This window comes from Homo sapiens, chromosome 5 (assembly GCF_000001405.40).
Source record: "Homo sapiens chromosome 5, GRCh38.p14 Primary Assembly".
Lineage (NCBI taxonomy): Eukaryota > Metazoa > Chordata > Mammalia > Primates > Hominidae > Homo > Homo sapiens.
The window spans coordinates 58,500,603-58,515,426 of NC_000005.10; the positions used below are offsets into that span (position 1 = coordinate 58,500,603).

At 37.7% G+C, this 14,824-nt stretch overlaps 1 annotated feature.

Moving 5' to 3' along the window:
* Window positions 5,711-5,880: an enhancer, noted in NCBI's record as "experimental_86555 CRE fragment used in MPRA reporter constructs". NCBI's record gives its function as "activates a minimal promoter by MPRAs in K562 erythroleukemia cells, with activity observed for both the introgressed and non-introgressed 5:57802225 variant alleles {active_cell/tissue: K562}" and the evidence as "EXISTENCE:reporter gene assay evidence [ECO:0000049][PMID:34662402]".

A 14,824-nucleotide genomic window follows, 5' to 3' on the forward strand; every position in this document is an offset into this window, starting at 1 on the left:
CATCAGGGTGCAGCCCTCATGATGGAATTAGTGCTCTTATAAGAGAACAGAGTTCTCTCTCTTTCTCTCTCTCTCTCCTTCTCTCTCTCTCTCTCTTCCTCCCTTCCTTCCACCACCCCCTGCCCCCACCTCCCAGCACCATGTGAGGACACAACATGAAAGCAGCCATCTGCAGGCCAGAAAGTGGGTTCTTACCAAGAAACAAATCAGCCAGCACCTTGACCTTGGACTTCTCAGACTCCAGAACTGTAATAAATAAATGTCTATGGTTTTAGGCACCCAATCTATGGTCTTTTGTTATAGCAGCCCAAGCAGACACATGTTAAACTGCTATTCTAAGCCGTAATAACTTTTTCTTTAAATTCAGAGAGTGACAAGTCTAATATTTAATTTTTAGTGCTTACCTTACATGATCACTTTCTGGTATTGTACTCTTGCTCCCTCTTTTTCCCCACTTAACATCCTTTGAAGCTTGCTTTTCTCTTGTACAACCTTCAGTGGAGTGGTTCTTCATGATCTTTCCTTGGTTCCCAGCTCCTTTTCCTATTCCTCTTTCCCTCGGTGATCAAGACATTTGTATTTGAACTCTTCTGCTCCAATATTTTTTTGAAGCATTTAACCATATAGCTCAGCATCTACTACTTATTTTTACCTGATGTCCTTCAGATATCTGAAATCCAACATGGGCCAAACTAATGGATTGGGGTCAAGATTGGAGTGTCACTCAGAAATAGAGATGGAACTGTGATGGAATAGAAGACTCAGAGATAAAGGGAGGATATCCATTGCATAGGTTACTTAATAATAATTTTAAAAATTTAACCATTCAAAATGTTCAAGTGTCATAAACATCAACCTCAAAATATCATGGTATCAGTATACCAAGTATGGTAGTCTCCCTTATTAATGGGGAAAATGTTCCTGCACCTCCAGTGGATGTGTATATACACTATATTTTTTCTATATGTTTGTATCTATGATAAAGTTTAATTTATAAACTAGGCATAGTAAGAAATTAACAACAATAATAAAATGGAACAATTACGCCAATACTCTGTTCAAAACTTCACGGATAGAAATTCATTTTTACCATCAACTTTAGCTAACTCGGGATACAACTTTTTTCTTCCTTAAGTCAAGAACTTTTACCTTTCACTGAAAGGAAGCACTTTACAGCTTCTCTTTGCCATATCTGAATTGCCAGCATCACTCTTCTTGTGCATTAGGTGATTTTAAAGTAAAATAAGGATGAATTGAACACCAACACTGTGAAATGTGACAGTCAATCTGATAACCAAGCCTGTCACTCAGTGACAAAGAGAAAGGAAGCATCTATGGCATGGAGATGCTGGACACAGGAATGATTCACATCCCAGGCAGGACAAAGTGAGATGAGGCAAGATTTCATCACACAACTTAGCACAGCACACAATTGAGAACTTATTGAATTGTTTATTTGAAAATTTCCATTTAATACATATGGATCATTGTTGACCACTGAAAACTGAAACTTAGGAACGTGAAACCACAGGCAAGAGGGGACTGCTGTCCTGAGTAGTGGCATCTTCAACATCAATACCTGACTCAAACAAACAGTGTGTGACTGCGATTCCCAGTCCCTGAAGCCAGGTGGTGTCACATTTGGAAAACAGTGTGTTTTTCCTCTTCCCTGGCTTCTGAGTGAGAAGCTCTAAAATGCACCACTGTGTATGTAGCAGCAAGAAGGGGTCCAGGGCCTGCTAGGCAGCAGGCTAGAGGACTTGTTTGACAACTACAGGTGCATGGCTTAGTAAAGCCATTTATTTTATTGAATTCAACACTTTCATTTACTGCTTGTTTTTAAATCTTCTTAGGATAGTTGTATTAAACAGAAGCTAAAAATTGACGTTCAATGGAATATGTCATGAAAAAGAAAATGACCAAGAATTTTGGAATTTTTTCACTTTGAGTATCAGTGAATATCTAAGATATCAGTAAAAAATAGGAAGACTGCAAATATATCTTGAATGAAAAGCACATGCTAGTGAACACCCATAGTGGGATGGAAAGGAGGTTGCAGAATATCAAGATTAGGAGACTTACAGCAAATGGCTTAGATGATCTAGCAGGGAAAAGTGCTTTCAGTCATGTAACAAATATTTATCAAATGCCTATGACGTAGTAAGGCCTAGGAGCGCACTGGGGATTCAGGAGTGGGGTTGTTGGGTGAAGGTTGGAGAAATGGACACTGCCCCAATACTCAGAATGTTCACAAACTACAAAAGAGGTATGCTATTTACAGGGGTTACTGAAGTACAATAATGGTACAATAAGGAAGCACATGGTGTAACAAAAGACCAAAGCCAGGGTGTAGGAAAGCTTTCCCATGGAAAGTGACACCTAAACTGATATCTGAAGGACAAGTAGGAGATAGCCAGGTAGAGGCTGAGGGAATGGTCCTCCAATAAGGGAGGAAAACATGTGAGGGTCCAGAGCATAGGGCGTGTTCAAGAATCTGAAAGAAAGTAAACACTTGAGCATCATGTGTAAAAGAAGGGTAAGAGGAAGGCAGTAAGCTGTGAGAAAAGCTCAGGTGATTCAGGGCTTTAAATAAGAAGTTAAGGAATTTGGACTTTATCCTAGTAATTGTGACATTTATGATATCAGAATATGATCTGAGAAGGCAGAAATGCTGCTGATTTTTCCAAAAAAAACCCACAAGGCATTGGAAGCAAAGAATTTCCGAGCTGCAATAGAATATGGGAAGCAAGATTTTGAAGTTGAGGACGTAAGACTTGATTTCAAGAAGCACATGTCAATGAGTTATAAGATAAATAGTGCTCTCCAGAGGTGTGTTTCTTTAAGCCTCTGCAGGTTTTAATTTAAATTCAGCTCCTGTAGTTTTGCATTTTAAGATTCTCCCAATAGAGAAGGGAATTAAGCAAATGAGAGAGCCTCAAACAAAAGGAAGCACAGAAGATGGTAAATTGCCAAATGCAATCAAGGCTGGTGAAGGTGTGACTGCAGCTCTTGACCCACATTGTTGCCATGGAAACCAAAGCTCGGTGGTCCTGGAGTGCTTTCCCTTTAAAAGGACAGATTGGCTTTAGAGAATAGTTAAGACTGCAAATTATGGATGTTGGATCATCCATTGTCACATGTATTCTAAATTCTTGTTAGTGACGGAGACAATGGCTACCTGGGTCTGAGGTGAACTCCCCAGCAGCCCAGAGGCTGTCAAAAGCGTAAGACTGAGACTCAGTAAAGGGCAGAGTTTAGCTGTTGCCTCAGGCTCACTTTCCCAGCTCCACCCTAGACTAAACTGGACTGACATAGAAGAGGAATACAATGAGCTAGGTTTGATCTGTTAACAAATGAGTTTTAAAATGTCATATTAGGAGATATGAAACTCATTTAAAAACATACAAATTTATGTTTGGTGTTTTTCTTCCTAGGTATTTCCAAGAAGACTGTAGTTCACTTTAAATGCCTAGCATTGGAGTGCCCTCTGTGCAACAGCACCGTATTTAGGCTTTATGTGAAGTATCTGTCTTAAATCACCAACAATTTCATCTCGCAGATATTGTTAATACTCCCGTTTTACAGGTGAGATGATTTGAACTTAAAGAAGTTAAAATTGGACCAAAGATCTTGGAGTGAATAAGAAATAGAGGCAATATTTCAATCCAGGCATTCTGATGGGATTGACTTACTCGAGTTTTTTTTTTAATAGTATTATTAGTAGATGATAATATCTTTTGTCTTCACATCATGGAATTTTGAATCTAGAAAATAACTTGGAAATCATCTAGACTGACTTTCTTATTTTGAAAATGATAACACTGAGTGCCAGAAAGTTTATGTGACTTTCCTAAGTTCACACACTGAATCAATGACTAACCCAGATCAGAATTCAGGGCTCCTGCAAAAAGGAATGCTGATACACTATTGGTGGGAATGTAAATTAATTCAATCTCTATGGGAAACAGTATGGAAATAAATATAGAACTACCATTTGACCCAGCAATCCCGCTACTGAGTAATTACTTTAAAAGAAGAAGAATTCAGGGCTCCTGGCTCCAAGGTAATTTTCAGTACATCTTGCTGCTATTCTATTGACTGTAAAAATACAAAATGTGTTTGTTTTGTTTTGTTTGTTTGTTTTTTGTTTTTAAACTCAAGTCTTCCTCATAGCATCCCTTTGAATCCCATTTCTAAGGACCTTTGTTTTTTATCTACTTTATTTTAGCTGGACGTTTTCTTCCCTACACCTAGAAATGATGCTGATTTTTCCAAATGTTAAGTAAAGATAGTCGTAAGAGAGCTGAGTATACAGATTTCTTAGTGCATGTGACTCTTGTGTTGCTGGAGCTATGTAATGAAGGCAATCAATCAGGAGTGGAGTGGTGTACAATATGTCCTCTTCTGGTCATTATTTCTTAAAATGTACTCCTTTGTCATCTTGTCTCATCTGGCAGTATTTGTCTAGACTATATACACTTTAAACTCAATTATCTGATAAGAGAAAAACATAACCAACAGAAGAGGAACATTCCTGGTGAGGGGAAGAGGGAGGGGTGCGAATATGTTTATAACAACTGCATTGCAACAAGAACATTGAAGAGAATATTTGAATGAACAATTAGTGACAAAGTAAATATCCTCTCCAAGCTGGCATGAAGAGGGTCTGAAAGCTATCTTCAGTCTCTTTGTTCCAGACAAAAATCAAGGCGAATATTGTGATATGCCCAGGTGAGTCTCCTTTTAAAATGAAATGATGAAAATGCTATAGCAAAGCAATAATTTCTGTTTCATTTACTAGAACAGCCAATTAAAGCTTAGAGCACAAGTTTGAAGGATGATAAGAAAAGTAAATGGGAGGGTGAAAATTTAGAAAAGGACAAATGAAGAGATGTACAAATAAAGAAGGCTTTGATGGAGTCATATAATCTCTTTGATTGTAATCAAAAGAGAACATTCTGTCAAAAATTAAAAACTCAGACATCTACAAGGGCTAGGCAGTGGACATATAGTTATGAAAGAGGCCTGCTGAAAGGCAGTGGTGCAAAGAGTCTTGCATGTTGAGCAAGTAAAACAGCTGCCCTAGTTGTATTATCTTTTCAGACATTATGTAAGCCAAACAATAATCAAGCAAATATGTACCTTAGCTCTAACCAAGATGTACTTAATTGTTTCCGCCATTCCTAATGCACCATGCACGTCTGTAGAGAGAGTAAATGTGGGCTGGGCAAGGTGCCTCACACCTGCAATCTCAGTGCTTTGGGAGGCAGACGAGGGAGGATTGTTTGAGGCCAGGAGTTTGAGACCAGACTGGGCAACAGAGAGAGACCCTCTCTCTACAAAAACAAACAAATTAGCTGGGCACCATGGCTCATGCCTGTAATCCCAGTACTTTGAGAGGCCAAGGCTGGAGGGTCACTTGAGACCAGGAGTTCTAGACCAATTTGGGCAACATAGAGAGAGCATAGCTCTACAAAAAATAAAAAACTTAGCCAAGCATGATGAAGCATGCCAGTAGTCCTAGCTACTTGGGAGGCTGAGATGGGAGGAGTTCTTGAGCCCAGGAGTTTAAGGCTGCTGTGAGCAGTGATCATGCCACTGCACTCCAGCTTGGATGATAGAATGAGGCTCCACGTCTCTCTCTAAAAAAAGAAAAAAAAAAAAAAAAGAACAAAGAAAAGAAAGCAAGCAAGCACAGAAAGGGTAAATACAGTTTTAATTTAACCTTCTAGTAAAAGTCATTTGTAATAAAACATTTTATAGTTCAAAGATACATAGTGTTAAAGGAAACCAGAGGGGAAGTGAGAGGTTCATTTAAGAACGATTTTTCATTTCCTCTTTTAATTAGCTGCATTGCTTAATATAGCAATACCTTCTTCCACATATGTTTAAAAAGAAAGCTTTGAGGCTCAATTTAGAATGCATCTTCTTGGTTGCACTTAGTGGAAAAAAATGAAAACCATAATAAAGATTGTATATTTTCAACATGTATATTGAGGTCTTACTCTTGCCTCCTTTTCAAGGTCCAGATTAAATCCCAGCTCATTTATGATGGCTTCTGAAAAACAGCGGTACAAATAACCTATTCATTTTCTGATTTCTTTTTTTAATCTAAATATCCATTTTTTTCCATGTATCTAGCCATACACTCACCTAACAAATATTCATTGAGAACCTATTTGCTGTCAGACATTGTGATAGGGACTGAGGGCTCAAACGTAAATAAGAACACCTCATGCCAACAGCCTAGATAAAATATATATTTAAAAAATCACACAAATAAATGCATAATTAGAAGCAGAAGTAAATGCTGTGAAGAAAATAAACCTGGTGGTTTGAAAGCTTTTAATTGAAGAATTTAAACTTGACTTATTCAAGCAGTCAGGGCAGGCTATTTAAACTGGATTATTAATGTATTAGTTATATAAACAGAATTTACCTAGAAAGAAAACAAAAGTTAGTGACTGCTTGCTATGGGGGAGGCCCATTGTTATAGAACTTTATCACCTGTGTTGGCTTGTTTATTTAAAAGAAAGGGCAAAATCTCAAATTGCTTTGAAGGGTTTATAAACTGCTACTAATAATAATTTGAAAGAAACAAAAATATTGGTTGAGAAAATTTCATAAAGACTAGTTTTCTCTAAAGGTCTGGTCTGGTGTGAACTTAAATATGTTGAGGCAGTGTTAACAGAGTGCAAAAAATTAATGAATAACATATAGCAGACCTATATTTGAATCACACTCCTGACGGATATTAGCTATGTGGCCTTGCGAAATTATTTATCCTCTCTGAACCTGGAAATCCACAGCTAAGAAATGGTAATAATAAGAACCTTGCCAGGTTACTGTAAAAATTGAATGAGATAACATATGAAAATGCCTTAAACACTATTGTTATTCATAACAATGATGCATGTGAAACATTAATTTCCTGTATTACTTGACGCAGTTACATTACCTACCTATTGTTGGACTTTTCACCACTAACGACTACCTTTTATGATTTTATTCTTCAAAGATTCTTTGCTTTCAAACATTTTGCTTAATAAAATTGTGAGAAATATGCCCACCTGTCCAAACCCAAAGAATGGACTTAGAGGCATGAAGAACAGTGAAGGTGAGACTTTTAATAACGTTCTGGCAAGATCAGTTGTCTGGAAGACATGCACACCTGGGCAATTACAACAGGTAATTTATCTGTTAGCACGCAAGTCCCTCCCACAGTTCCTCACTGGTCAAGTACTATGGGGTTACAGTCTTACCAGCTGTCGCCTAAGTTTCATTATCCCCCTTCCCTGCTTCAATTTCAACTTCCGAATAACAAAAGTTTCTTCCCTTTTGTGGGCTGACCCCTCCTCTACATTCTGTTCATTTATTGTGACCTTCTAAGGGCATGAGCCATGTGGTTTGTTACATTTGCAGGCTGGCTGCCAGTGCTTAGATTTATCATGCCTTGAAAATGGATCATTTAAAATGTTTTCTTACAAACTGAACTTTAATATGTAATATATTTCAAACATTTTTTATAATTATGTAATTTTAACCCACAACCAGAGCTTCTCATCAACATGATTACATTGACTTTATACATTTTCACATTAAAAACAGAAAGAACTACTTTTACTATTTTCATTTTTAAAACATTCAAAATAACTACTCATGTTAACAGTCCCTTCAAAGCAGCTCTTGTCCAAATTCCTTTCCAGGAAAAAAATCAAGGGTAAGGATGCTGATGCCAGAGCAAAGTTAAGGGGTGCTGGGTTGGAGATTGATGAGATAGGTGCTCCTCCAATAACACTGAGGACCTCAGTTGGGTTCCTATGCACAGTAGAGATCAGCTAAATCCCTAGTTTCAATATGTGTCAAAGGAAAATCATATGCATTTGAACTCAAAACCGTATTCTTCATTGTTTCTGAGGTTTCTGTTGATTCTACTGTTAGGTCATTGACTCAAATGTTTGGCCTGATTCTGTTACAACAATGAACTCTCATTTTCTGAAAATTGTCACATATTATTTTATGAGTTCCAACACAAACTATATCAAAAATATTCACAGTTAGGTCTATATTTCTACTCAAAAGTCATCAGCTTTTTGTGTGCCTTGCTGCCTCTCCTTGGCTGTTACATTATGTGAGCTTCTCTTCTTGGAGCATTACTGAGTGCCTTGAGAATTTCTCTTGATGGATGCAGAAAGAATAAGTAAAGAGAAAATAACCTTAAAAATTGTATCTGCCAACCCACAGAATGGGATAAAATATTTGCAAACTATGCATCTGACAAAGGACTAGTATACAGAATCTACAAGGAATTCAAACAAATCAGCAAGAAAGAAAACAAGTAATCCCCTCAAAAAGTGGACAAAGGACATGAATAGACACTTCTCAAAAGAAGACATACAAATTGCCAACAAACACTTAAAAATGTTCAACATCACTAATCATCAGGGGAGTGCAAATTAAAACCACAATGAGATACCATCATACTCCTGCAAGAATGGCTATTATGAAAAAGTCAAAAAACAAGAGATGTTGGCATGGATGTGGAAAAAGGGGAACACTTATACACTGCCGGTGGGAATATAAATTAGTACAAACTCTATGGAAAACAGTATGGAGATTCTTTAAAAAACTAAAAGTAGATCTACCATTTGATCCAGCAATCCCACCACTAAGTACCTACCCAGAGGAAAATAAGTCATTACATGAAAAAGACACTTGCACATGTATGTTTATAGCAGCATAATTCACAATTGCAAAGATGTGGAACCAACCTAAGTGCCCATAGACTACTGAGTGGATAAAGAAAATGTGGTACCTATACACCATGGAATGCTACTCAGCCATAAGAAGGAATAAAATAATGTCTTTTGCAGCAACTTGAATGGAGCTGGAGGCCATTATTCTAAGTGAAGTAACACAGGAGTAAAAAAACAAAAACTGTATGCTCTCACTTATAAGTGGGAGCTAAGCTATGAGTACACAGAGGCATACAGAGTGGTATAGTGGATTTTAGGGACTTAGAAGCAGGAGAGTGGGGAGGAGGATAGGGATTAAAAAAACTATACATTAGGTACTAAGTACACTACTCTGGTGACAAGTGCACTAAAATCTCAGAATTCACCACTATATAATTCATCTACATAACATAAAACACTTGTATCCCAAAAGCTATTGAAATAGCAATTTAAAAAATTGTATCTGCCTTTATTTGGGTCACAACATGATGGCATGAGACTTTTTTCAATTATCACAACTGGTGATAATCTATTTTCCCCCTTGCTGACTTGCTACTGTGAGTGTGTGTGCTTGCCTATGAATAAGATTGGCAGAAGAGGTTGTTGGCTGAGTCTAGGTAATTTAGGGTGTCAAAAGTCCCACTTACTGATCCCTACTGCCTATCACAGAGTCTGACACTCATGCCATTACAGAGTTTTTCTCCACTGCCAGGAGTCTCCAGTATTTCTTTATTTAAATGTACATATCCTCATACGATGTGCTTTTTAAGTATTATTCACAACCTATTACTTTGAAGAGTTAATGTTTCAGGTAAGTTACAAGGATTTGGACAAGCAGTATCAACCATTTGAGAAACAACTGCTTTTTTTCTAAGAAAAATGGTAGCTTAGTGCAGGGTTTCTGGGAGTCTGGTCTTAGTTCAAGGCGAGAATACTATACAAGATTAGATAATTCGGGGTAAAAATATACTATTAAAGGATTTAGCCAAATGTCCTCATACTGCTTTGAAATTCTTGCCAGGGATTTTTTTTTTTAATCCCTGACTTTAGTCATTATGTCTGCCTAATTCACACCATTCACCCTTTCAATTCCTCAGCACAGTATTAAGCTAAGAATACAGACAGGTGAAGGGCAAGTCTCTGTTCTTGAGGGTTTACAGTCTACTCAACCTTATATCATATACTAATATTGCCACCCATCATCTGATTTGCACTGTTAAGCCTGTAAACTCTTGGAGCCCAGTAGCATTCTAGTACAACATGCATACAAGTGTGCATATGCCAGGAACCATTCTAGGCCATAGTCACACAAAGATAATCTCAAATAACTCATAGATGACTGCAAATATCATATAAATAAACCAACGATTTTAGTACAATGTAATAAATGATATTGTTAGTAGAAGTGCAAACTCATAGCTTCATGAGCAAAGATGAGGAAATCTATTGCTGTCTGAAGAGTAAAACATGTCTACAGAAAGAAATTCATGTTGAGCTGAGTTTGGGATACAACACAAAACTTTATTACCTTGGAACTTTCTGGAAAAATTAAGTAAAAGATACACATCTTTTTTTTTTTATTTTGACGCAGTCTCGCTCTGTTGCCCAGACTGGAGTGCAGTGGCACCATCTTGGCTCACTGCAGCCTCCGCCTCCTGGGTTCAAGAGATCCTCCTGCCTCAGCCTAAGATATACATCTTTTGATATGAAAGATAATATGAGCATCGGAACTATGGACTCCCATCAAGGCATCATGAGCAAAGAAGGAGTATGATAATAAATTCTGGTTAGCTGGAGATCAGAGGGAGTTTTGAGGTTTGGAGAACACTAAAAGTGGGAAAGAGATTCAAGAAGAAGATGTGGGAAGCTGGCAAAATAAATGTTAATGCACCTTTTTTCTTAGTCTTTTTGTAGAAGATGTACATGAAAGTGAATATAGGCATTTTAAATACAGGGAATTTGATAAAGGAATTGGTTACTAAGGTGTTGGAGAATTGATGGAACTAAAAGGAGAAGGCGAGTTTATTCAAAAGATCAGGAACTGAAAAAAATCTATTCTCTTCTATACAGCAGCAAGGAGAGCTCAAGCAAAGTGGACATGATCAGAGTCCACAGTTACCATGATCCTGAGACAAGCTCATAAAAGCAAGCTGCATGAGCAGGAACCCAAGAAGTGACAGGCACCAGCCACCACTATTGCTGCCATCACCACAGGGAATTCCAACAAAGCAGAACTAATGGTTTCTTGCTTCATCCCACCTTCTAATCTAACAAAAAGCCCACTGTCAAAGGAGTTGGAGAAACACAGTTTGTAGGCTCCCATCTCCAGTGGTAGAGAAGACATAGAAAAATGATTGTAGAGCCAAGAGATAATAGACACAATGTAGCAGCCACATGTCCTGGCTTAAGAATCCACTTCCCTTGCCTCCCTTCTCACCTCCCTCCAGGTATCCATCAACAAAGAGCAAGACGGAGGACACACACACACTGGTTTTTATTTTCATCATTATCTACCTGCATAGTCATGTCTACTTGTGAGAAATAGAAATCCTTCTAAGTATGTACTGGAAATAAGTAAGGAAAAGTTTAAATAAATAGGAGAGATGCTGTTAAAGAGTAAACCTTTAAAAACAAGTAGAGAAGGCTAGTAAAAATTATTAGAAAAATAATGGTCTCCTCCATTCCCAATCTGTTTACCAACACAAGTAAAACACCAGTTTGCTTATTTTATAAATTTATGTTCTCTTTTTCATTTTTCTAGGTCATCATATCTGCTTAGCTTCCACCATTAAAAATTTTCATAGAAAATAAGTTGCATTTTTCCAACCCAACTATCTCTGATAATAAAATGTGACAAAGTTAAACCTAATAAGCAGCTATATAGGTTGTTCAAGTATGCTTGATTGTACATATTGAGACAGAAAAATAAGATGCATTTGTTTCAAAAGAAGATTAAATGGCTAATGATTAGAGCATAATAACAACTGAAAAACTCAGTAGGAGAGCAATATAGATTATGTAGCCAAAAAAAGAAGTTTGGATTTTCAATTTAATTTGTGAAAGAGTTCTGCTTTTAAAATAATTACATTTGTTGCTATTTAAAAGATTAATTTTTAAAATTAAGGTGAAAACAGTAAAAAAATTGTGCTTTTGTATTATGTTTCTATTTCCTTGGTGTGATATAATTTTTAAAAAAGTGACAGCACACTAATGGTACACAGCTATACAGTATTCTTTCAGGCATTTTAAAAATGACAATTGGTGCCACTTGACTGGAAGTTGAGTTTGAGAAATCAAGTGATGAAAGGACTTAGAGAATAAAGCAAAAGTACTTACTTTACATTACTTTGCAATGTTATAAAATCATCCTATTGGATACTTGGGTGGCAATCTGCATGACAATGACTTTTAATGGACATTTGATATGGTTTGGCTGTGTCCCTGCCCAAATCTCAACTTGAATTGTATCTCTCAGAATTCCCACATGTTGTGGGAGAGACCCAGGGGTAGGTAATTGAATCATGGGGGCTGGTATTTCTCATGCTATTCTCATGATTGTGAATAAGTCTCACGAGATCTGATGGGTTTATCAGGGGTTTCTGCTTTTATTTCTTCCACATTTTTCTCTTGCTACCACCACGTAAGAAGCGCCTTTCACCTCTCGCCATGATTCTGAGGCTTCCCCAGCCATGTGGAACTGTTTAAGTCCAATTAAACCTCTTTTTGTTCCCAGTTTGGGGTATGTCTTTATCAACAGTGTGTAAACAAACTGATACAACATTTTTAAGGAACTCACCATAATCTCATTTCTAAAAGTGACCTCACACATTGAAGAATAGTGTCTTTCAGACCTTTTAACTAATTATTTCCTCTTCCTGGAATGTTCTGCCCCAGGTATCTGTTTAGGCTATTCTGTCACTTTCTTCAAGGCCAGTACCCCATTGGTCAGACTACTTCATTCACTTCATAATAATAACTAACACTTATGTAACATGACAAGAATCATTATACATCAATTGACTAAAAAGTGACATTTTAAGAGATTAAATTTTAAATTTTAATTGTTATATATCATTGCGGGAAGCCAGGGACCCCGAACAGAGGGGCCGGTTGGAGCCACAGCAGAGGAACATAAATTGTGAAGATTTCGTGGACATTTATCACTTCTGAAATAATACTTTTATAATTTCTTACACCTGTCTTACTTTAATCTCTTAATCCTGTTATCTTCATAAACTGAGAATGTATGTCACCTCAGGACCCTGTGATAATTGCGTTAAATGTACAAATTGATTGTAAAATATGTGTGTTTGAACAATATGAAATCAGTGCACCTTTAAAAAGAACGGAATAACAGCGATTTTAGGGAACAAGGGAAGACAGCCATAAGGTCTGACTGCCTGTGGAGTCGGGAAAAAGAGCCATATTTTTCTTCTTGCAGAGAGCCTATAAATGGACATGCAAGTAGGGAAGATATTGCTAAATTATTTTCCTAGGAAGGAATATTGATATTAATACTCTGGGAAAAGAATTGCATTCCCAGAGGGAGGTCTATAAACAGCCGCTCTGGGAATGTCTGTCTTATGCAGTTGAAATAAGGACTGAAATACACTCTGGTCTCCTGCAGTACCCTCAGGCTTAGTAGGATTGGGAAACTCCAGCCTGGTAAATTTTTGGTCAGACCGATTCTCTGCTCTCAAACCCTGTTTTCTCTTAAGATGTTTATCAAGACAATACATGCACCACTGAACATAGACCCTTAGGAGTTTCTGATTTTGCCCTTTAAAGCATGTGATCTTTGTGACCTACTCCCTGTAATTACACCCCCTCCCCTTTTGAAATCTTTAATAAAAACCTGCTGGTTTTGTAGCTCAAGTGGGCATCACAGTCCTACCAATATGTGATGTCACCCCCGGTGGCCCAGCTGTAAAATTCCTCTCTTTGTGCTCTTTCTCTTTATTTCTCAGACTGGCTGACACTTATGGAAAATAGAAAGAACCTACATTGAAATATTGGGGGCGTGTTCACCCAATAATATACTTATATGGTTCAAAATTCAAAAGGTACAATAGAATTTATACTGAAGTTTTTCTTTTAGCCCTGTTCCATATTCCCACTTTCAGCTCTTGACACCAGAAAGAACATAACTCACACATTAGGGGCAAATCACATTAGTAGAAGATGAAGCTCATAGATTGTTACTCTTTTAATAAAAATATGAAGAGTTTACATTATTACATGCACTTGTGAACTGTCACACAATTTAATGGACTATGATATTTCATTTTCTGCCTCATGTGGATAATTAATGAAAAAAAATCTCTAGAGCACTAAGATGTTACATTGTGATGTGGCATAAACATTATTTCTTTAGGGAGCAATGATCAATTTTTTAAATTTTATTTTCCCAAAATTTTGCACATTTTAATTATTTAAAATTTATTTAGAAGATTTATTTACAAGATGGCCAATCGGAAGCAGCTATGGTCTGCAGCAATCATGGAGAGGAATGAAAGCGGTGAGTAAATTTATCACCTTCAACTGAAATATCCAGGTTCTCGCATTGGGACTGACTAGGCAATCAACTGAATCCAAGGAGAATAAAGAAAAGCAGTGTAGGGCAACAGTTTACCTGGAAGCAGCACAGAGCCAAAGGAAGCCCTCTCAGCCAAGGGTAGTGGTAAATGATTGTGTGACCTTGCCTGGGAAACCACACTTCTCCCACAGATCTTTGAAACCAATGGATGAGGAGATCTCCTCCTGAGCCCACACCACCAGGGTCTTGGGTCCGATACACAGAGCTGTGTGGAGTTTTGGCAGAGCATCTACTCAGGCACACACAGAGACCCAGGAGTTTTACATACTCTGGCCTCGGATTCCCAGCAAGGTGGCAGATTCATCTGTACCTTCCCCTAGGAAGGTGGCTGAATCCAGGGAGCCAAGCAGCATTGTTCTGTGGCCCACTTCCACAGCACCTCAAGTTAAGACCCACCGGCTTGGACTTCCAATCAGATAATGGCAAAAGGCTGAGTCTGCCTGAAATGGGAGGGAGTTCCCGGGGAGGGGGGTGGCCACCATTTCTGTGGTTC